Source organism: Homo sapiens, chromosome 9 (assembly GCF_000001405.40).
Source record: "Homo sapiens chromosome 9, GRCh38.p14 Primary Assembly".
NCBI lineage: Eukaryota > Metazoa > Chordata > Mammalia > Primates > Hominidae > Homo > Homo sapiens.
The window spans coordinates 120,756,761-120,778,077 of NC_000009.12; the positions used below are offsets into that span (position 1 = coordinate 120,756,761).

General features: G+C 41.2%; 1 protein-coding gene across 14 annotated transcripts in view, besides 1 other annotated feature; it reads right to left on the reverse strand.

Moving 5' to 3' along the window:
* Nucleotides 1–213: 213 nt before the first annotated feature.
* Nucleotides 214–21,317, reverse strand: part of FBXW2 (F-box and WD repeat domain containing 2) — a 36,443-nt gene continuing 15,339 nt past the window's right edge. For 13 of the 14 annotated variants that reach the window (XM_047423218.1, NM_001375889.1, XM_017014615.3 and 10 more), the window contains 4 exons: nucleotides 19,333–19,466; nucleotides 15,994–16,080; nucleotides 14,588–14,757; nucleotides 214–8,087 (listed from right to left, as the gene is read on the reverse strand). In XM_047423218.1, the coding sequence (XP_047279174.1) occupies nucleotides 7,799–8,087; nucleotides 14,588–14,757; nucleotides 15,994–16,080; nucleotides 19,333–19,466 (680 nt within the window). In that variant the 3' untranslated portion in view covers nucleotides 214–7,798. Of the gene's footprint in view, nucleotides 8,088–14,587; nucleotides 14,758–15,993; nucleotides 16,081–19,332; nucleotides 19,467–20,170; nucleotides 20,262–21,317 lie in introns of those variants that run through there. The other variant, XM_047423216.1, reaches the window with a different exon arrangement.
* Nucleotides 11,306–11,974: an enhancer, noted in NCBI's record as "OCT4-NANOG hESC enhancer chr9:123530344-123531012 (GRCh37/hg19 assembly coordinates)". NCBI's record gives its function as "activates a minimal SCP1, AML or CMV promoter by ChIP-STARR-seq in naive H9 embryonic stem cells {active_cell/tissue: H9 hESC(naive)}" and the evidence as "EXISTENCE:reporter gene assay evidence [ECO:0000049][PMID:30033119]".

A 21,317-nucleotide genomic window follows, 5' to 3' on the forward strand; every position in this document is an offset into this window, starting at 1 on the left:
TTGGGGAAAAAACATTTTGACTCATGACTGTCCATATTTTCCTTTAAATAGTATTGTTGACTAGCTCTAATCTTTGGTACTGGGTCTTACTAGATCTACTTTTTGCATAATTTGTGATGTACCATATAAACCAGTAATATGTAAACAGATTGTGTATAGGTTTACTTGACACAAATCCTTTTTATGTAATGAAAGAACACTTCAACGCATGTCTTGGGTTGAACTATTATTTCTAAATCAGTGATAATTAGATTAGTGAAATTTTATTTATAGCCATAATTCATCTCGACCAATGATTTCACAAGTATTTGAAAGTGTAATGGGTAAAAGATGCAGACAGAATTCAAGAGATACAAATAAGCACACATAAAAATATGTCATTTTCTCTCTAGTCCCCTCCCCCATAAAAATGTTGTCATGTGTTAAAGAAATGTCAGTTAAAGCAACCTTGAGATACTTCCTTTATATCTATTAAATTGGCAAACATGTTTAGAAATGTTCTTTCTTGACTCGGGCAGTGGTTAGACAAGTGTTCACTTCATAACTATTCGACAAAACTGTGTGTTGTATGCACTCTTCTGTACCTGTAACAGAAAATACTAAGAAAAAATTCCACTGCTTTTGCGAGTAAGTCTTCTACTGGAACTTGTTCTAAGGAAATATGCACAAAGAAGTTCTCTGTAGTATCTTCTAAAAAGCAGAACTGGAAACTACCTAATTATCTACCAAAACAGAAATGGTTTAGCAAATTACAGTAATGAAGGAAAATTACAAAATATTATGGTAGTTGTAAAAACCTAAAGCACATTTTTGAGAATGTATTACAAAACAATGATTTGCAGTACATAAATCCATACACATGTGCATAAGGATTAGAAGAGAGTATTAAAAATCGTAATGATAAAGGAGCTCTGGGTAATTTTCTCCATAAGTTTTTATTACTGTTAGATTATCTTTACCACAGAGAGCACAGAACATGTGGTTAAAATGCAAAGGACAGGAACATCCCACTGGCAGGGACTACTCATGTCTAATCACAGTGTGATCATTAAATATTCTCTCCAAATGTACTCAGAACACTTCAGATGTTTACAGGATATGGCAGAAGAGGGACGTCTAAGAGAGGAAAAGCTGTGTGGAATTGATCTTTCATTTGCTTCTGATCTTTTATTTTCAATTTTAGATGCTCTGGAAGTTATTTTTCTTCCAAGTTTAGATAGCTCTTAAGACAATCCATGGAATTCATTAAAATCTCAATGAATTCCTACTCTCAATCTTACAATGTTGCTGGGGAAACCAGGTATTCACTTGTATTTTGGAAAAAACTGAGAATCAAGGATGAAAGTTAATAGTTGTCTACTGCAAAAGGTACAACAGTATTTATTGCTAAATGAACTGCACCACTAACCTTACACAAAAATGCTCAGTGAGGCTGGAGTGGGGTATGGTGGTCAGCAGAGGCTTTAAAGATAGTGGGAGATCAATGGGATTAAAGCCTGGCCCTAGGACTGGTGGAAAGGAACATCAAGAACTTTCCACGAGGATGGGAGATTAACACCCAAAGCGCAAGGGTGGAAATAAATAGAGGAGCAAGAACTGTTTGCTCGAAGAAATTAGCTAGGGCTCCATGATGTTAAGGAATCCAGATGTGCCCTGATGGTAACGGAGAGTTACCAAGATTGAACAAGAGCAAGTAAGTGCTCAAAGAAGTGGTTGGGGAGACTCCCTGGAAGCAAAGCATAAGACAGGTTGAACAGTGCACACAAGTGGTGAAGGCAGAAGGCAGCAGTCGGGATTTGAAGAGACTTGAAATACAGAAAGAACAGACAAACATGAAAACATGGAAAAAATCCAGGTGTGTGGGGGCTGAAAATCAGGGCTTCAGCCTCACCACTTACTATAACTCCTCTAGGCAATGAATCACTTTACCAAGCCACAGCTTTCTCATCTGTAAAACAGGAATGACAATCTGCCCTTAATGATGCTGTCAGGGGATCAAAGGTGCAGGGCCGTGGTACTCAAATGACAAGAAGCCCCGTAAGTTTAAGTTAGTAAGAAAGAACTCATGCAAAGATGTGCTGGATAGACACATCCTTGGGCAAAAGAGAGGAAGACTATTCCAAGGTCTGGAAGCAAAATGGGACTTTTACCCACCCCATCCCTTCATTTGCAACTATTCATGAAATTCACCAAAATTATTTCCTTGTGTTTTACCTTTATTGTTTTGCTTTTTGGATCACCTTCAGAAATGGTTATATTGTTGAGTTTACCTTCTAGAAGATGCAGAAACAGTAAAAAAACAGAGCCACCTCAGATCACTCAAGGGGTTGTTCTATTTTCAAAAACACACTGACTTTTGAAAAGTCCCTGCATTGGTTGGATAAAATGTCTGAAGTGGTTGGGGGGAAAGCAAGACAAAGTCTTAACTACAGAATATATTTTTAAGGAAATGCAGCTTTATTACTTTCAAGTACAAACAATAACTTGGGCTTGGCTAACCAAATTTGCCTAATTGAGGGAATCTGCTTTAATGTACAGATATAAATGATTTATAGTTAACACAATCACTCACGGGTAAAAAGAGTGCTTCTATGATGCAAGAAAATAACTTCTCATCTTAGAGACATCTTGTTCCACAATCACCCCACTATTTGCTTAAGCAACCTCTTCTTCCCCCTACCCCACACAGTTCAAATATAAACTTTATCTCATGCCCTCTAAATCACAACATACATCAAATTCGTGAAATATGAGTTGATTACTTTTTCCACATTGCTATAGATGTTGGATTGCTGACAGAACTATCTCTTCAACCTGAGCATTCTCATCAAGTATACTAAGTCTAAATCAGTGAAATATGCCTGTTCACAATCTGAGTACAAAGACACCAAAACATGAGCTTTTATCATCTGAATTACTAATTTTCCAGGGTTGAATATTAAAAACACATATTTACTTGGGCACATTTATGAAGAGTAGAAGTAGCTGAATTCTTTAGGCTGCAATAATTAAGTGGGTTTACACTGGTCAGGATTGAATTACTAAATTTAAACAACTGAACTGTTCCAGGAAAGACAAGAAACACTGAAACATCCTAACAGCAAAACAGCTTTTTGCACTGAGCGTGACCATTCAGTCTGATTAGGCTGATGGGAATGGTGCAAAGACTACTCAGTAATCCATTTGAGGATTTATTCTGAAAAAAGTTTACTTTCCTAGAGCAGGCATGGGGAACCTTTGATCAGAAACACTGCCAAAGATGGCTAATGGGCATTGTGTCAAAAAAGTGAATCTGTTCTTTTCATCAGACATTCTGAGGACAGCATAATTCTCAAGTGTCTTGGTTGTCTAAACCAAGCGAAAGCACCAGCGTAACCAGGTAGGAGGGCTGTGTCAAGAAGACGGACCTAAAGGGCTTCTCCCCTATCCTGACAACTGTGTCCACAGGCAAAGGTGACAGTATGCCCTGCCCGGACTGCATCATGAGTAGCAATCTGATTCTGCTCGCTTCCCAACAGAGAAAGGCAAGTGGCTTCATACACCAAGGCCCAGAGGAAGAGGCACAGAAAGCTATAAAAGTGATGCTGGGGCCGGGCACAGCAGCTCACGCCTGTAATCCCGGCACTTTGGGAGGTAGAGGCGGGCAGAACACGAGGTCAAGAAATCAAGACCATCCTGGCCAACATAGTGAAACCTCGTCTCTACTAAAAATACAAAAATAGCTGGGCGTGGTGGCACGCGCCTGTAGTCTCAGCTACTCAGGAGGCTGAGGCAGGAGAATCGCTTGAACCCAGGAGGCTGAGGTTGCAGTAAGCCGAGATCACGCCACTGCACTCCAGCCTGGGGATAGAGCAAGACTCTGTCTCAAAAACATACAAAAAAAACAAAACAAAACAAAAAAAACAGTGATGTTGGTAGGATTCACCTCTAGGCAATCTGGAAGCCACACAGTAACAACTTCAAGTTGCCAGCTGGGTTTGGTCAAAGAAATGTGTAAAGCCAGGATCCACTATCCTTAGCTGATTCTGTTAGATCAAAATGCCTAATACAAACAATTTCCTCATGTCTAAAATACTGTTTCCGAAAGTTATTTCTTTTGTTTTACAAATAGAGAGCAGTAATCATTTTCCTATGAATACTAGAATGATTATATAATCCTCATTCAAACCTCACACCAAGTGTTTTCAACAGCCAGAACAGAGCAATTTTTAAACTACGAAAAATGAAGTGCAAACCTTACAATTTCATAGCAATGTTCCCCACGTTTCACTCATGAACAGCTATCCAATTGCATGCACCTTCCTGCAGAACTTCTTCCAAGTCCAGTCCTTCCACTGGAGGGGCTTTCTTCCTATTTCTCCAATAGGTCTAAAATGTCAGGTTACAGTCAGATTTGGCAATGTGTATTACTTCAAATGATTGAGCTGGAGGAAACTACATTCCTTTGGAATGATGACAGAATCTATCAGAAACTTCACACATCCACTCAGCTCTCCTGGATCCCTGTCCACACCATGAAGCCTGAAGTTGTTATGATGGCCTTTATGAACCTGAAAGAAGCCGCTGGCTTCCACCACACCACAGTGTCACCCAAGAAATCCAATCCTTGTAAGAAAGGATAGGGCTTATCTTCTCATGACTTAGAATTTTTCAGAAATGAGAATATTCACAAAAGAGGGAAAGGCAATTCCCTTACCTATGCGCTAAGGAAGCCAAAGTCAGTGTGTGCAAGAGCTAGCTCTCAAAGGCAATGAAAGGAGAGTAAAGAATAGTTTTAGTTATCCCCTATCCACTTCTCATTCTGACTCCCCACTTTGCTTTCTTTTGCAAAAAGGATGAGCTAGTTTTCCATTTTTATAAAAACTGGCGATAGTATGAATAAACCCAGCATCTATAAAGTAGTTGAATAAAATCTCAGGCCAAATAAAGGCCTCCATAAGGAAGAACTGACATTAGGACTCCAATTACTGCCTGAAGTTCTGCTGTCAAAATCCAGCTGCATGATGATGCCACTGTACTCCAGCCTGTATGACAGAGCAAGACTGCCTAGGAAAAAAAAAAAATTCCAGCGGCACCAAGTACCACCTTGATGACTTCTGTATTCACCACTAAAAACTGAAATAGAACATACTATATACAGCTTCAAGTTTGTCACTTTTTAATAAAACTTTTCCCACAAATGATTATAATTACTTGCCCTTTGAAGCTATTGGATAGATCTGAAAGTGAGGTAGGGTGGGGATGGTCATTAGATCAGTAATAGTTATCTGTTCAGGCTCGATAAAAAGTAAAAACTCGGCCAGGCGTGGTGGCTCACGCCTGTAATCCCAGCACTTTGGGAGGCCAAGGCAGGTGGATGACCTGAGGTCAGGAGTTCAAGACCAGCCTGGCCAACATGGTGGAACCCTGTCTCTACTAAAAATATAAAAATTAGTTGGGTGTCATGGCAGATGCTTGTAATCCCAGCTACTTAGGAGGCTGAGGCAGGAGAATCACTTGAACCCAGGAGGCGGAGGTTGCAGTGAGCCAAGATCGTGCCATTGCACTCCAGCCTGCGCAGTAAGAGCGAAACTCTGTCTCAAAAAAAAAAAAATAATAATAAAGTAAAAAGTCATTTACCATCATCATTGCCCAAAGTCTCCTGGGGCTTCTGCAAAATAGATTCAGTTGTGATTCCGGTTCTATTTCTAGAGTACTAAGCAGAGCTGATGCACAGAACTCAATGTGAGATAGATTAAACCCAGATTTTGTGGGATGGGGGAAGATATTGTTCTTTTGCTTAAACCCCACAGAGTTTCAACATGGATATTAATGATATCTGTCCTTGAAATTCACCATTAATTTCTATCAACTTCACAGCACTCAGAGGTCCAGAGTCTGGCTCTATGCTAATGCAGATTCTGCAAGAGATAGGTCCCCACTCTAGAGTTCACATCATTCTCAGCTCTGCCAGCAACCCTTTTTCTCACCTGTAAAATGGATATGCTTTATACTGGAGTCAGCAAGAAGGAATAACTCATGTTCCCAGACATAAGCTGTCACTGAGGTTCCAATTCTTATGTTCATCTTCAAACTACCTTCCTATTGGTCTGTGAATGAAATACATCCCTCCCCACCACCCTTGTAATACAAGGGGAGACAGCTGAAGAGCGGCTGAGATTTTTCTACTGCTTGCTCCCTCTACTCTCTCCCTGATTGTGACCACTAACATTTCCACTGCTGAATCACAAAATTACCTAACTTTAGAGAGGGAGGAGGACACAATCTGGCAACCCAGGGACATGTTTTGTTTGGCTCACCTTATTTCAAATTTTCTTTAATCAGTTGTAACGTTTTAAAAATCCAGGATTTCAAATAAAAATCTGGATTTCTAGCTCCTCCTGAAACAATGTGAAGACCTGCCAACCCTGGGCTTGCTTCTCCTAATGACAAAACAGAGCTGAATAACTGCCCTATTAGATCAACTTTCCAGGGGACAGCACAATCCTCCCCAGAATGTTTTACTCATTTATGTTACCTGCACGGCTCCCTTAGGCATTTGGGTTTGTGAGCCCTCATCTAGGACAATTCCCTCACTTAAAAGATGAAGAAAATGATGGTCTTAGAAGAGAAAGTTAACTTGCCTGAGGCTGCAGATTAAGTTAGAGGCAAAGGAGGAAGTTAGGTTGGGTTCAGGTATCCTTCTAGTATAGCATACTGTGTCCCTATTTAAACCATGGCTTCTATCAGCATTTCTTCAACCAATTACTTAAACTGTCTAAGTGGAATCAGCTATATTTTCTACATTTCCCTTTTATTCATCCTTTTCATATAATTGATGTTCTTATAGAAAACTCTGTAACAGTCATTTCATTTAAATATTATCCGACCTGAAAGAAACCATGAATCAGGGATCAGACAAAAATACATGATCAACTTTTACACATTTCAGTAGGTGAAGGACCAGAAAGAATCTTAGAAATCACTGAGCTTCATACCTGGCTGTACAGACAAGGAAGCTGGGACCCAGAGAGGGTGCAGAGTTCCAGGGTAAGAGGCCCGGTCTCTAACCTTCCAGCTCACTGCTCTTTTCTGCTATACCAGGGCACCGCTGTGCAGTCATCCAGGCTGCCGGGGACTAGCTTCCCCGACATGGCAACAAAAACTACAGAACTCGCTCACATCTTAAACATGGCCAACCTTGACTCTGCCAAGATATAAGGTTTAGAATGAGTTGCTAACATTCAATTTACAGAATTGGATTTGAACTGGAAGACAGACTTTCCTTAGCACTGGTATTTGGTGGAAGTTTATAAACTGGTATTTGGTGGAAGTTTTAACACTGGCTCTTATAAGAGCTAAACCCCGTGTGAGGAAAGTTGCTGTAACAACATCATAGCACCTTTGCTTCAACTTCAAAAGAAAAAAAGGCTATGGTAAAAAGCTTTAATAACAGACAATGTGATTTCATAGGCAACCAATTAGCAGATTAATGGATCATTTAACTTTCTTTACTTAAAACCAATACTCCACTCAAGAAAGATGAACCCAAAATGCATCCTCTAACACTGACCAACATAACTAAGTACAAATGAAGTCAATGGTGTACCCCATTAGCATGCTGCGTTGTATGTCAATAAAACAAGCCCTCCCCCACCCCGAGCCCTGGCCCCTGGCAAAACATAGATAAATGATTGTGCACTGCGTGATGATACCATTAGGTGAGAACTTTGGTTCATGCAGTCGGCTGCCGCAGAGGTTGCACCCAAAACCCGCAGCCCCGGCACCCAAAGTCAGTCAGCGGTGGTGGCTCATGGTGTCAGCCGTGCTCCTTCCACAACACCAGGTGAATACTGTGGTCAGGCATGCTGGTGGCAAAGACCAAGCCCGTGTCATTGTGCCCATCCAGTCCATTCAGCCAGGATGCTTCGCCTGCCAGGAAGCTTGAGCCTCTCTTTGATTTCCTGTACTCTGGCAGAGGCCAGCGACTAATCAGGCTCTCTGTCCGCAAGTCCATGATGTACAGGTAGCGGTTGTCAAACAGCAGGGCAAAGATATCTCCAAAGCCAAGCAAGGCCAAGTTTGCTATCTCAGGAGTCTTGATGACCCTACAAGGATGAGAGTTAGGGACTGTGAAAGAAGGCAACCTTGCTTCTGTTTATGCTACTGTAATCTTTTCTGGAGATATTTAAAACCAATATTAAATTCAAGCAAATTTAGAGTTAAATGTTTTTGATAAAAAGTAAAATATAAGGAGAAAAGCTCAGCCCACTTATAAAAAAGCCGGGAGCGGGAGAGGTGCGTTCAGTCATTATATAATATTGGCATGGAAGGGAAAGGTGGTGTTTGATCAAAGTTTTTTTTTTTTTTTTTGAGACAGGGTCTCACTGTGTTGCCCACACTGGAGTACAGGGGCGTGATCTCGGCTCACTGCATCCTCCACCTCCCAGGTTCAAGTGATTCTCCTGCTTCAGCCTCACAAGTAGCTGGGACTACAGACGGCTGCCACTGCACCTGGCTAATTTTTGTATTTTTAGTAGAGACGAGGTTTCACCATGTTGGCCAGGCTGGTCTCGAACTACTGACCTCAGATGATCTGCCCACCTCGGCCTCCCAAAGTGCTGGGATTACAGGCGTGAGCCACCGCACCCGGCCTGATGAAAGTTTATAAAAGTACAAAACATCTATCCAGGCTAGAAAGGATCTTACAGATAACATTTAACTAAACAATCTATTTTTAAGCTGTGAAAACCAAAGCTCAGGCAGAGTAAATGCTTTGGCTAAGGATTCACAATTTGTCAGTTACCAGTGAGAACTAGAAGGCAAGAGTTAACTCTTACCACTAGGTAAAAAGATGTATTCATCAACTCCTAGAATACTGGAACACCCTGAAGCCCAGAAGAAACCTGAAAGCCAAGTGACTAAAGTGCTACTCTACTCAGCAGGCAGCAAACAAATGGGTTTCTCTCTAAAAACAGTAAAGGCTGAAAATATTTAAAGTTTCCCAAATAACTTAGAAACATTTATTAATAATAGATTCATAAAAAGTTATTATGAAAAAAACTAGGGAAGAAACAACTAGGGGAAGCAGAGAAAAGTAGGGAGTTGGGAGGACAGCCCTAACTTTCTCAGAGGCAGTTTCCAAGACATCAATGACAAAGGCTAGGAGACACCTAGCTAAACAGCAGCACAAAGGAAAACAAAAAACAACTTAGCTTCTGTTGTCTGCGCCCTTAGTGAAGCAAAAGATTAACAAGAAAAGCTGATGTCCTCTTTGGAGGAACTAAGAGCTGAGCTACCAGACAAGCAGTAGACAAATACTGCTCTGTGACATATGGTGGGGCTCCTGTGGGAGGAGAGTTTAGCCTAGGTTTTAAGGACACCACCAAACTAGTATAGGTTCAAGAGAGCAACCAGAATGGGAGGACCTGGAGACCAGGACAAGGAAGAACAGCTGAAGGCTATCAGCTGAGATGGGGAAGGAAAGAGTTGGCAGGCATAGGGTAACTGTATATGAGGATCACTTCTGAATAGTGAAAGATGTGTAAGAGACAGCCCAGACATTATAAGCTTTAGAAGACAGAACTAGGATCAGAGGCAAAGAGTTACAAAGGAGCCAATTTCAGTCTCATATCAGGAAGGATGGGGGACATTCAATATTTATCAAGCATTTACATGTGCAAGGCACCGAACTTCATAATTAACATGTTATCTTTTTTAATTATTTTTATTTATTTATTTATTGAGATGGAGTCTCGCTCTGTCACCAGGCTGGAGTGCAGTGGCGTGATCTCGGCTCACTGCAACTTCCACCTCCCGGATTCAAGCGATTCTCGTGCCTCAGCCTCCCGAGTAGCTGGGATTACAGATGCCCGCCACCACGCCCAGCTAATTTTTGTATTTTTAGTAGAGATGAGGTTTTACCATGTTGGCGAGATGGTCTCGATCTCAACCTTGTGTTCCACCCGCCTCAGCCTCCCAAAGTGCTGGGATTACAGGCGTGAGCCACTGCACCCAGCGTGTTATCTCAATCCTCATAATGCAGTTAGGTAGAGGTATTCTCTCCACTATATCAGTAAACAAGACTAAAACATCTTGCCATGAGTCATACAGCTAACATAATGCAGGCCTAGCAAATGTTTTCTGAGTATCATAGGTGCTGAGTGCTGGCTGGGCCCCTGAAGAGAGATAAGCAAGATAGTCTTTGCCCCTTAGAAGGGGAGGGCATAGCATATAACTGCCAGAGTATGTGAGAACATGCTCAGCACAAACACTCCAATGGATATAACAGGAGTATCAAGGAGTGAGCAAATCTTTCTGTCTTTTATAGCTGGACCTGGAAGAATATTTTTTCTCTTTCTTGAAGAAGAAATGCAACTGGGCAATATAGATAGAATACGGAAAGCCTGTCTAAATTTTACAAATTCTCTCTCATGGGCATGTGTTTCTCTTATAATTAATATCTGAAAAAAAAATCTATGATACTAAGAATATCAACAAGACATCACTTCTATGAAACTAAGAAAATAGTTAACAGGTGCTGGCCCCTGCTTGAAAAGCAGAGAGTAAGCTCACCTTCCCAGACTGAAAATGGAAGAAACTTCTGCTAAAAGAGGTAGACATTTAGATTAGATGACATGTTTGAGAACATCCAAAATCAATCACTGAACACTCCCTATGGTGTCAGCCTTTATAAACAGGTTTACAAGATGGAGTCTGATCCCAGGGAAAGCAGTAAGTTCAGATTAACTTCAAGTAAAGGGGAATCAGAGGTCCCAATATGTGTGTTCCAAATGAGTTATAACTGATAACTCATCCATCATTTTCTACTTAGATGACTCATATTCATTCACTCAACAAATATTTACTAAGAGCCTAAAGTGAGCTAGCCAATGTTGGTACCAGGATTTCGGCAGTGAATAAGACAAAGTTCCTCACACTCAAACTATCCAATACTGAATTTCCTAGTCAAACCTGTTTTTTCTATTTCTTTACTTGCTCATTCACCCAGGTGCTCAAGCTAGGAAACGTGGCAACCATCCAATTCTCCTCCTCCTCCTCATTCAAATCACAAATTCGATCACCAAGCTCTATTGATTTTATGCCCTAAATTTTTCTCTAATTTGTTCACTAATATATGCACTACCACAGCTCTAGTCCAAGACACCATCTTTTGCCTGCACTATTGCCAACAGCTTTCTACTGACCTCCCCACATCTACTTAGTCCCTTTGAATCAGTTAACCTCACATACAACCTGATGTTATCACCTTGTTTCAACTTCTAAACTCTTTGATGGCTCCTTATTGTGCCCCCATCTTTAGCCATGCTGATGCATTTAAGGAATTTCCTTCAATTTCTCAAATGTACCTGAGGCTCCTTTAACCTCAGGGCCTTCGAACGGACTAGTGTCTCAGTCTAAAATTCCTCACTGTACACCCACTCCTGGTACTTAGTTAAGGCATTTATACTCACCCTTTAGAGCTCAGCCCAAATGTCTCCTCTTAGAAGCCTTCCCTTACTCCACAAACTAGGCAGGGCCTCAAAGTACTCTGTACTAGGCTAGGCTCCTCTTAACCCAACCATTAAACAACCTGTTTGCAATTAGCTGTTTAACATCAGTCTTCCCCATCCTGCTGATCGGTAATTTCCCTGAGTTTGGTAAGTACTTCTGCTGTTTCCCAATGCATACCACAATGCCTGACACAAAGGTGGGTGCTCAATGAATATCTAAAGAATAAAGTAGTGGTGAAATAAACAAAGGCAAGTGCAAATTCCTACAAAAGAGATCTAAAGGAGGCTAGGAAGCCGGGTGCGGTGGCTCATGCCTATAATCCCAGCACTTTGGGAGGCGGGTGGATCACTTGAGGTCAGGAGTTTGAGACCAGCCTGGCCAACAGGATGAAACCCCATCGCTACTAAAAATACACAAAATTAGCTGGGCATCATGGCAGGTGCCTTTAATTCCAGCTACTCGGGAGGCTGAGGCAGGAGAATCGCTTGAACCTGGGAGGCAGAGGTTGCAGTGAGCCGAGATCACACCACTGCACTAGAGCCTGGGTGACAGAGTGAGACTCTGTCTCAAAAAAACATAAAATAAAAACGAAAAAAAAAGAGGCTAGGAAAAACAGCTAGAAAGTCTGGTAGGTCCCACATCATAACAGAACACAAAAAATAGGTGGCTACCGGGTTAGGGCTCAAGATCTGTGAAGATGAGCTGATTCCAAAGACTGAAACACAAATATGTTGCAGAATAGAGCACAGGTCTTGACAGGTTTGTGGCTTTCACTTTGATCACTTTAGAAATGGAACCAGACATCCCTGCTGTGCAGAGTCTGGGTCCTTGAACCTAAGTAACCTTACATGCTGTAGAGATAACCTAACTCAAGCAATCACATCATATCTCAGACTTATTGAGTAACATGCTGTTATTTGTGCTTTGCTTCTTTTCAATTAGCTTCAAAGCTAAGTAGCCCTACCTGGTCCTAGCAACTGAAGCCAGAGGATTTGTAGTAGGTTTCAACAGAGGTTGGTTTATCTGTGTTTGGGAGGAAAAAAGCAGACACAAGACAGACTCTTTTCGGAGAAAAAATCTGAACCTGGCAACTCCTACCCGCAAACAATCTTACAGGTTTATTATTTAAAACTATTATTCAAACACTAAAAACTAGCAACTTTCATCTAGGACTCTAGAGTCTCTATATGCCACTCTGAGTCACAAGCATACATGAGAAAGCAGATGTGGGACCAAATTAAACCCTTTAGAGATGCTAAGCATTAAAACAACTATGACATCTCTAGCCCACCTTGCCTTTGCACCTTCCCACCTAAAATTTTAATTCAAAACAAAAACAATATTGAACTATAAAAGATGTGATTTTCCCATGGTGATTACTTGAATATTTTGCTTTACAAAATATCAGATTCTTTCAAAACTTTATTTTCCCCTGTTTTTGGTGTCCCTGGCTTTCTAGTACCATAAGTATATACCTATTGGATAATCCAGCCATGCATGAATGGACGAATGTTGGAATACAGTGAGAGGTGGAATGCTGGGCAAGGCCCCTACCCTGTCTCAGCTTCAGTTTCCCTACCTACAAGAGGAAAAGCTTAAACAGATGTTTTCTAGGAAAGGTTTCAGTCTTTTTTCTCAAAGCATAAATATCAATCATTTCTATAACTGATTCTGACAGCTCTGAAACCTAACTGGTTAGAAATGTTGGTCTGATTCCAGGAAGACATAAATGGGGTTGTAACTTTGTGATCAGAGAGATGTGGCCCACCAAAGTTTTGTGGTTATTGTGATCAGATCCACACGAGCTGACCTCAAATAGTCATGCATAAAAACAATGAAGAGGCCGGGTGCGGTGGCTCACGCATGTAATCCCAGCACTTTGGGAGGCCGAGGCGGGTGGATCACGAGGTCAGGAGATTGAGTCCATCCTGCCTAGCACAGTGAAACCCCGTCTCTACTAAAAATACAAAAAATTAGCCGGGCATGGTGGCGGGCGCCTGTAGTCCCAGCTACTCGGGAGGCTGGGACAGGAGAATGGTGTGAACCCTGGAGGCGGAGCCTGCAGTGAGCAGAGATTGTGCCACTGCACTCCAGCCTGGGCGACAGAGCGAGACTCCATCTCAAAAAAAAAAAAAAAAACAATGAAGAGAATGTTCAATTTTCTGTACTCCTCCAAGTCCTGAACCATGCTATGGGACGCTAACTTTTTGAGTTGTTATTAATAAGTGTGTGCACAACAGGTGTGAAGTACAGTAGGTTCAACAAATTCAAACAGGTTTCTTTACATGGGTCCTCTCAGACTTATTATTAATAAAGATCTGCCAGGTGGTATACTAGGTCCTCATCACAAGCATTTCATTTAATAGTCACTTTATAGATGATGAAATTGAGCTACAGAGGAGTTAAGAAACTTATACTAAATCACACAGCCCATTAGAGATGGCACCACATCTTAAACCAAGGTTTGTCTATCACCAAAGTTCTCTTAATGACCACATGGCACTGGCTTCCATCAGCCCCAAATATGCTAACAGATACTGTCCTTCTCCAAGAAGAGCCTATGGTATGCAGTGAATCACAAAATTATTTGTCTATGGACTGCTGCTTATTTACTTCTTTGGAGGGAAACCCTGCAAATTTTATTTTTCTCTAAGTCTCTGTCTTTCTACTAGTCAACAGAAGGTCACTTGATCCCTAGATACCACTAAAGTTTACCAAGTTTGTAAAACAATGCAGAATTTCAACAGAATATGAAATAGGACTTAAAATATTAGAACTTATGGAGATCTGAAAGATCTTTTCATCCATGCCCCTCATTTTCCAGAAAAGCATGTTAAATCTGAAAGAAGTGGCTCATGACTCACAGTCAGGCAGCGGACGTTCCAGTACGTAACTCTTTTTCATTTGCTTACTTCCTCTAAAATATTTTTCCTGTCTGAGATGTTCAGTATATATAACCCTGTTTACAAGTGATACAGTATACATTTCCTAAAAGCCAGCTACTGACTGGTACATCCAAACATTTAGTCTTGTCTTTACTACTGAACTGCAGCAGGCTTTCAAAGGTAAAGCGTGAGGTCGAAGGAAACATTACCTGAGAATATCATAACTGGCAAAGTCCCACTGGTAGAGACCAAGTGCTGAACTACAGACAATGTATTTGCCATCAAAATGAAGTCTTGGCTGCAGGCAGATACTTCTATCCTCAGAGACAGACAATGTCTTTAAGCACTTACAGTTGATTTCTCTCCCAATTGGCCAAATCTACAGAAAAAAGAAAATGAGGAAAGATGAGAGATCACATCACTACAGAAAAGCTTGTCCTTAAAATGGTCTGCATTTGTGAAGTCAGATAGAAAGTGAAGTATACTGGAAAGACCCCAGGTTTTATAGCCAAGAATCACAGGTTCAAGTCTTAATTCTCCTGTGCAATCTTGGGTAAATTATTTAATCTCTCTTAACTCCAGCTCCTGCAATGAAGATAATGCCTATCACACGGGACAGTATAAAAGATCCAATAATGGGCCAGGCACGGTGGCTCGCGCCTGTAATCCCAGCACTTTGGGAGGCCTAGGCAGGTGGATCACCTGAGGTCAGGAGTTCAAGACCAGCCTGGCCAACATGGTGAAACCCTGTCTCTACTAAAAATACAAAAATTAGCCAGGCGTGATAGCACACGCCTGTAATCCCAGCTACTTGGGAGGCTGAAGCACGAGCATCACTTGAACCTGGGAGGCAGAGGTTGCAGTAAGCAAAGATTCTACCACTGCACTCCAGCCTGGGTGACAGAGTGAGACCCTGTCTCAGAAAAAAAAAAAAAAAAAAAAAAAGAGATGCAGTAAGAATGTGAGAGTACTTTGTGAACTCTTTGCAATTCATTACAATAAATATTTATGTTTTCATAGTTCAGATCTAAGAATTAAGGACGGTAGGAGATATGTAAAAAAGTATTAAGAATGGGCCGGGCGTGGTGGCTCATGCCTGTAATTCCAGCATTTTGGGAGGTCAAGGCAGGCGGATCACAAGGTCAGGAGTTCGAGACCAGCCTGGCCAATATGGTGAACTCCCATCTCTACTAAAAATACAAAAATTAGCTGGGCCTGGTAGCAGGCGCCTGTAGTCCCAGCTACTCGGTAGGCTGAGGCAGGAGAATCACTTGAACCCAGGGGGCGGAGGTTGCAGTGAGCCAATATTGTGCCACTGCACTCCAACCTGGGCAACAGAGCGAGACTGTCTCAAAAAAAAACCAACAACAAAAATTAAGAATAAGCTGAACATAAATTTATGTGAATTTCTTTTTCATTTACAAATCCAAGTTAAGAAACTACACAGGACATAGAGCTAGCAAATCATCTCTTCTTCCGGTGGGTTTAAAATGGCTTGGACTAAGACACTCCCCCTCCTCTTCCTAGAATGTTCACCCTTTGCCATACCACTTTCATTTTCTTATGTTTTCCAGTTTTTCTTTAATGAAGCAAATTAATGGAGAAAAAAACTCACCTTAATCTCATATTTGTCTGCACTTAAGAGGATGTAGTCTCCAGGACTGTGCAAGAGAGACTTGACTTTGCACTTCTGCAAAACTACCTGCAAATGTAAACCATGTTACGGAAAGATCCTTTTAATGCTGCTCCTATAATGATTTTATTCTTTAAATTAAAATACAAAAATGAGCTTAACATATGCTAGAATAGCTAAGCCATAACTCCATTACCAAATTAACCTCTACTAAAAGTTTTACTACAATATTCTCTGTTATTAGCAGTATCTAAAAGTGTCTAACGTTAGCCAGATGAGGTGGGTCACGCCTATAATCCCAGTGACTCGGAAGGCTGAGGTGGGAGGATTGCTTGAGCCCAGGAGTTGGAGGATGCAGTGAGCTATGATTGCACCACTGCACTCCAACCTGGGCAACAGAGCAAGACCACAACGCTTAAAAAAAAAAAAAAACAGTCTAAACATTGGCAGCATTTAATCTTAGCATTCGTCTAGAAGCAAACATTAGGACTGATTTTTTAAAATTATAAAATGTAACTTAAGAGAGGGAACAGAAAAGAAAAAAGCCCGTAGACACTGACGTAGATGCAAATGATCTGCTTTCATAACTATGTGAATCATAAATGAAAAAGCACTGGACTTGGGACCAGAATCTGCCATATGCTGACTTTGCAACCTTGGACAAGACCATCTAAACTCGGTCAGTTTCTTGATCTTTAAAACAGGAGACAAGCACCTATTATCTTACCTCATTTAATTACAGTAAAGATAAAGTAACAATGTAAATTATAGTAGTAACAAAATAAAAGCTAACATTCTGTTAGCACTTGAGATAAGTATATAAACATCAGGTTCTAGCTATTTTTGCAATCAATCAGGCTAAGGTGAGAGGGGAAGCAGGGTTCACTCATTCAGAAGTCTGGATTGCAGACTCAACTGAAACAGACCTATTACTAAGTATCAGGCACCTTGCTGGGTGCTGTCCCAACATTTCATTTCGTGTTCACAGGAACATTTAGCAGATGACACAGCTCAGGTCCTGAAGGTGGAGTAACTTGTCCAAGACATCACCGTCAGTGTCCTAGCCCCAATCAACTATTTTCCACAACACCAAACTGCCTTACACTATATAGCTTTTCCATGTAAAAAGTTAACATGGGCTAGGCACAGTGGCTCATGCCTATAATCCCAGCACTTTGAGAGGCCGAGGAGGGAGGACTGCTTGAGGCCAGGAGTTCAAGACCAGCCTGGGCAACACAGCAAGACCCCCATCTCCACACACAAAAAATTTTTTTTAATTAGCAGCTGGGCACGGTGGCTCACGCCTGTAATCTCAGCATTTTGGGAGGCCGAGGTGGGTGGATCACCTGAGGTCAGGAGTTCGAGACCAGCCTGGCCAACACAATGAAACTCCGTCTCTACTAAAAACACAAAAAATTAGCCAGGCATGGTGGTGGGCGCCTGTAATCCCAGCTACTCTGGAGGCTGAAGCAGGAGAATCACTTGAACCCGGCAGATGGATGCTGCAGTGAGCCGAGATCGTGCCACTGCACTCCAGCCTGCGCAACAAGAGTGAAACTCCATCTCAAAAAAAAAAAAAAAAAAAAAGAAATTAGCTCAGTGTGGTGGCACGTGGCTGTAGTGCTAGCTACTCGGGAGGCTGAGGTGAGAGGATCACTTAAGCCTGGGGATTCAAAGTTGCAGAGAGCTATGATCATGACACGGCATTCCAGCCTGGGCAACAGAATGAGACCCTGTCTGTATTAAAACAACAACAAATGATTCTTCTTTGTTTCCCACAGTGAATCTGCAAGCCAGGTGGCTTTACCTTAAAGACATATCCTTTATGGGTGCCCTTTTCATTATTGCCAGGAAAATCTAAGTTATGGGCATCTTTTGCTTAGATTACTGCCAAAGCCTAAATGGTCACCCTGTATCCACTTGTGCCCAACTCTAGTCCATTCTTCATTCAGCAGTTAATTTTCCTAAAACATAGATCGCACCAGACACTTGCTCAGAACTCGTGGATTGCTTCCTAGTACACTTCTGATGATATCCACCATACTTACTGTGGCCTTATAAATCATACAGGATTACCACCTCTCTGCCCATCTTCCCAACTACAGCATGGCTCCACTGGCTTATGTCCAGGTCATCAAATGTTCCAAGTTCTTTCCACCCGCTGGGCCCGTGCATGTATTGCACCCTCTGAAACAATCTTTCAGCTACTCTTTCCACAGCTATCTCCTATTTATTCTTCATGTTTAACCCCCTTCTCAAAAACTTTTTTCTGAACTAATTACTTTCCTATACTTTTTTTTTTTTTTGAAAGAGTCTCACTTTGTTGCCTAGGGTGGAGTGCAGTGGCACGATCTTGGCTCACTGCAACCTCCGCCTCCCCAGCTTCAAGTTAATTCCCCTGTCTCAGCCTCCTGAGTAGCTGGGATTACGCCTGGCTGATTTTTGTACTTTCAGTAGCGACGGAGTTTCACCATGTTGGCCAGGCTGGCCTCGAACTCCTGGGCTCAGGTGATCCGCCCGCCTTGGCCTCCCAAAGTGCTGGGATTACACATGTAAGCCTCTGTGCCTGGCCCTAGACTGTCTTATAGAACACTGTACTGTTCCTTCACAAAACTTAACACAATTTGAAATGATATATTTACCCATGAAATTGTTTAATAAAACTATTTCTCCTATTAGACTATCATCCACAGGGTAAGGACTGGGTCTATTTTGCTTACTCCTGTTTTCTCAGCCCCCTCATAGAATGGGATGGTAAACTCAAGAAAAGTGCTTCTGCGTGGTATATCCATTATTAATACTGCATTTGATCCTCACAACAATCTTGTTTTTTTTAAAAAAGAAAACATTACAATATTTTACTAAAGATCCTGTACAGTTTTCTTTGTCCTACTTCTTGTAAGCGTTATTTTTTCAAAATGAAAATTGCTTTTCTGATTAAGAAAGAAACATGTTTATTCTAAAGGGAAAAACACGCCCACAATCCCACCAGAAATACCCACCTTCAACATTTTGATGCATGAACACATTCAGAAACCGGTATCACACTCTACATATTTTTTTGTATGTAATCTGTTTTATTTGCCCCCTCTATCCACCTAATATATTGTGGGCAACTTTCCATGTCCATAAGTCATTTATTTGTTAAACCATGTATTAAGTACCTTCTACTTGCTGGTCACTGTTGTGTACCATTATGCTTTGTAGGTACAGCAATTCCATCTTATGACTCACCTAACACTTATAAGGCAGTGTCTACCATCCTCCACGCCCTCCCTCAAAAAGCCTGATAAGCAGGAGACTTCTTCCAAGTCTTCCTACCTTGGTGACCCATTCCGTGTGCCCGGTGAGTGTGTTCAGGCATGTCCCAGCAGATAAAGCCCATACTTTCACAGTGAAGTCTGCAGAGCCGCTCACCAAGATATCCAGTTCATCATTGTAGTCCACGCTAAATACTAGTGCATATAATTACACAAAGTTAAAACATGTCTCTGTCAGTGGGTCTTTTATAATAGAGTTCAATAATGTTTATTTTCCCCAATTATATAATTTCCCAACCAGAGACACCGTAAGAATGATGCTATTCAACTAGCAATTTTCTGATAAAACTATTTCAAAATTCTTACTATTATAGCTTATTATTCTAAGGTGGAAAGTCCTAGGAATAATACAATCTCTTTTATTTGTGGTAGCTACAGTGAGAGGCAAAACAAATGTTGGAGATAATGGCATTCCTTCTTAGGACTGCCTGCCTGACACTACACAATACTTTATCTAATTTATGCAGGAAAACAAAACGTACATGGTCCTACTCTGATACACACTAACAGTAAGACAAAATATAAAGAATGGAAGCTGCAAAACAGCACCCAGACTCAAGAAAACCCAATGTAAAGAGAGAAAAAACAAAACAAAAACAAGGATCTCAAAGGTTAGATTAAGCCATTAACTCAAAAGTGTCTGAATTTCTTCACAGCTGTATCCCCAGCGCCAAAAACAGTGTAAGCTGTATAGTGTGTACTCAAATATTTGTTTTCAAATGTATACCAGTTCTAAAGGAACATTAGGGACCCAGAGATGAAGACACTGATTCTTCCTTTAAGGAACTCAATCTAAGTAGGGAGTGGAGGAGGAAGCCCAGAAAAAAATAAATGTTTACCTCTTGCTAGGGAAACATCAAGGAGAATGACTAACTCTGCCCAGGGGTATCAGGGAGGACTTCAGGGAAGAGGCGATATTGGAGATGGGCCCTAAAGGATGAGCAGAGTTTATCAAGGAAAGAAAAAAGAATACTGCAAGCAGAGGGAATAGTAAAGGTATGAAGTTAAGAAAAACCTCAGCAATGTCTAGGCAACAGTAATAAAAATTTTTAGAGCAGGGTTCTCAAAGTTGATCAGGAATAAAATCACCTGGAAGTCATGGTACATCTTAACATTGTGGAACATAACACTCAATTTAACATATACTTCCATGCATACATGCACCTTCAAATATTAATTTCTAACAAGTGGTAGCAGACAGCAAAGACTGAAGAAGAGTATATAGGAGGACAAATAAAATGAAGCAAAAAATACGTGTTTTTATTAGCCTAACGGCTAGTTTTACTTCAAAGAATCACTAAGCACCAGGTACAGTGCAAGTAACTCCAGTCACATGGGTGAACAAGACAGATAAGATCACTGTCCTTATGGAGTTTAGTCTGGTGGGGAAGCAAGATTATATTTGTATGATGAGCGGTCTACAGTAATACAAGTTACTGGGAAATAGAGGGACGCAACCTGTTAAGGGAGTTTTGGAAGGCTGCTCATAAACGTAATGCTTGACATTACAGACTATGATTCTCAGAGGCTAAAGCAGTGGGTAAATGGGGGAAAGGAAGGGAGCTGCTCAACACAAGAGGCTGGGAAATAGCTCAATTTCTACACAAAGCCTCCCCACCCCCGCCCCCGCCAAAAAAAAAGCAACAGAGAGAGAAGCTCAAATCTCAAGGCTATATTCAAATGACCAGTTTTTGCAAAATAAGGATGCTATACATTTATTAGGAAACATTCAGGTATGTTTCTTTCGCCTTATCTCTAGGTGGTAGCTTGTTTTAATCAACTGTCAACCAAGCTCAAACTGGATGTAATCTGTGTAGACCACACAATCTAAGAACCACCGTCACACCAAAGAACTTTCAGCCCTAATGCTACAAATAAAGTGGAATTTACACAAGTAGGATTTACTCAGTTCAGAGGTATGGAATCTGATAAAAGCCAAGGGACTGTCTGTTCAATAGGATATAAATGAAACAGGAGGGGGGAGAG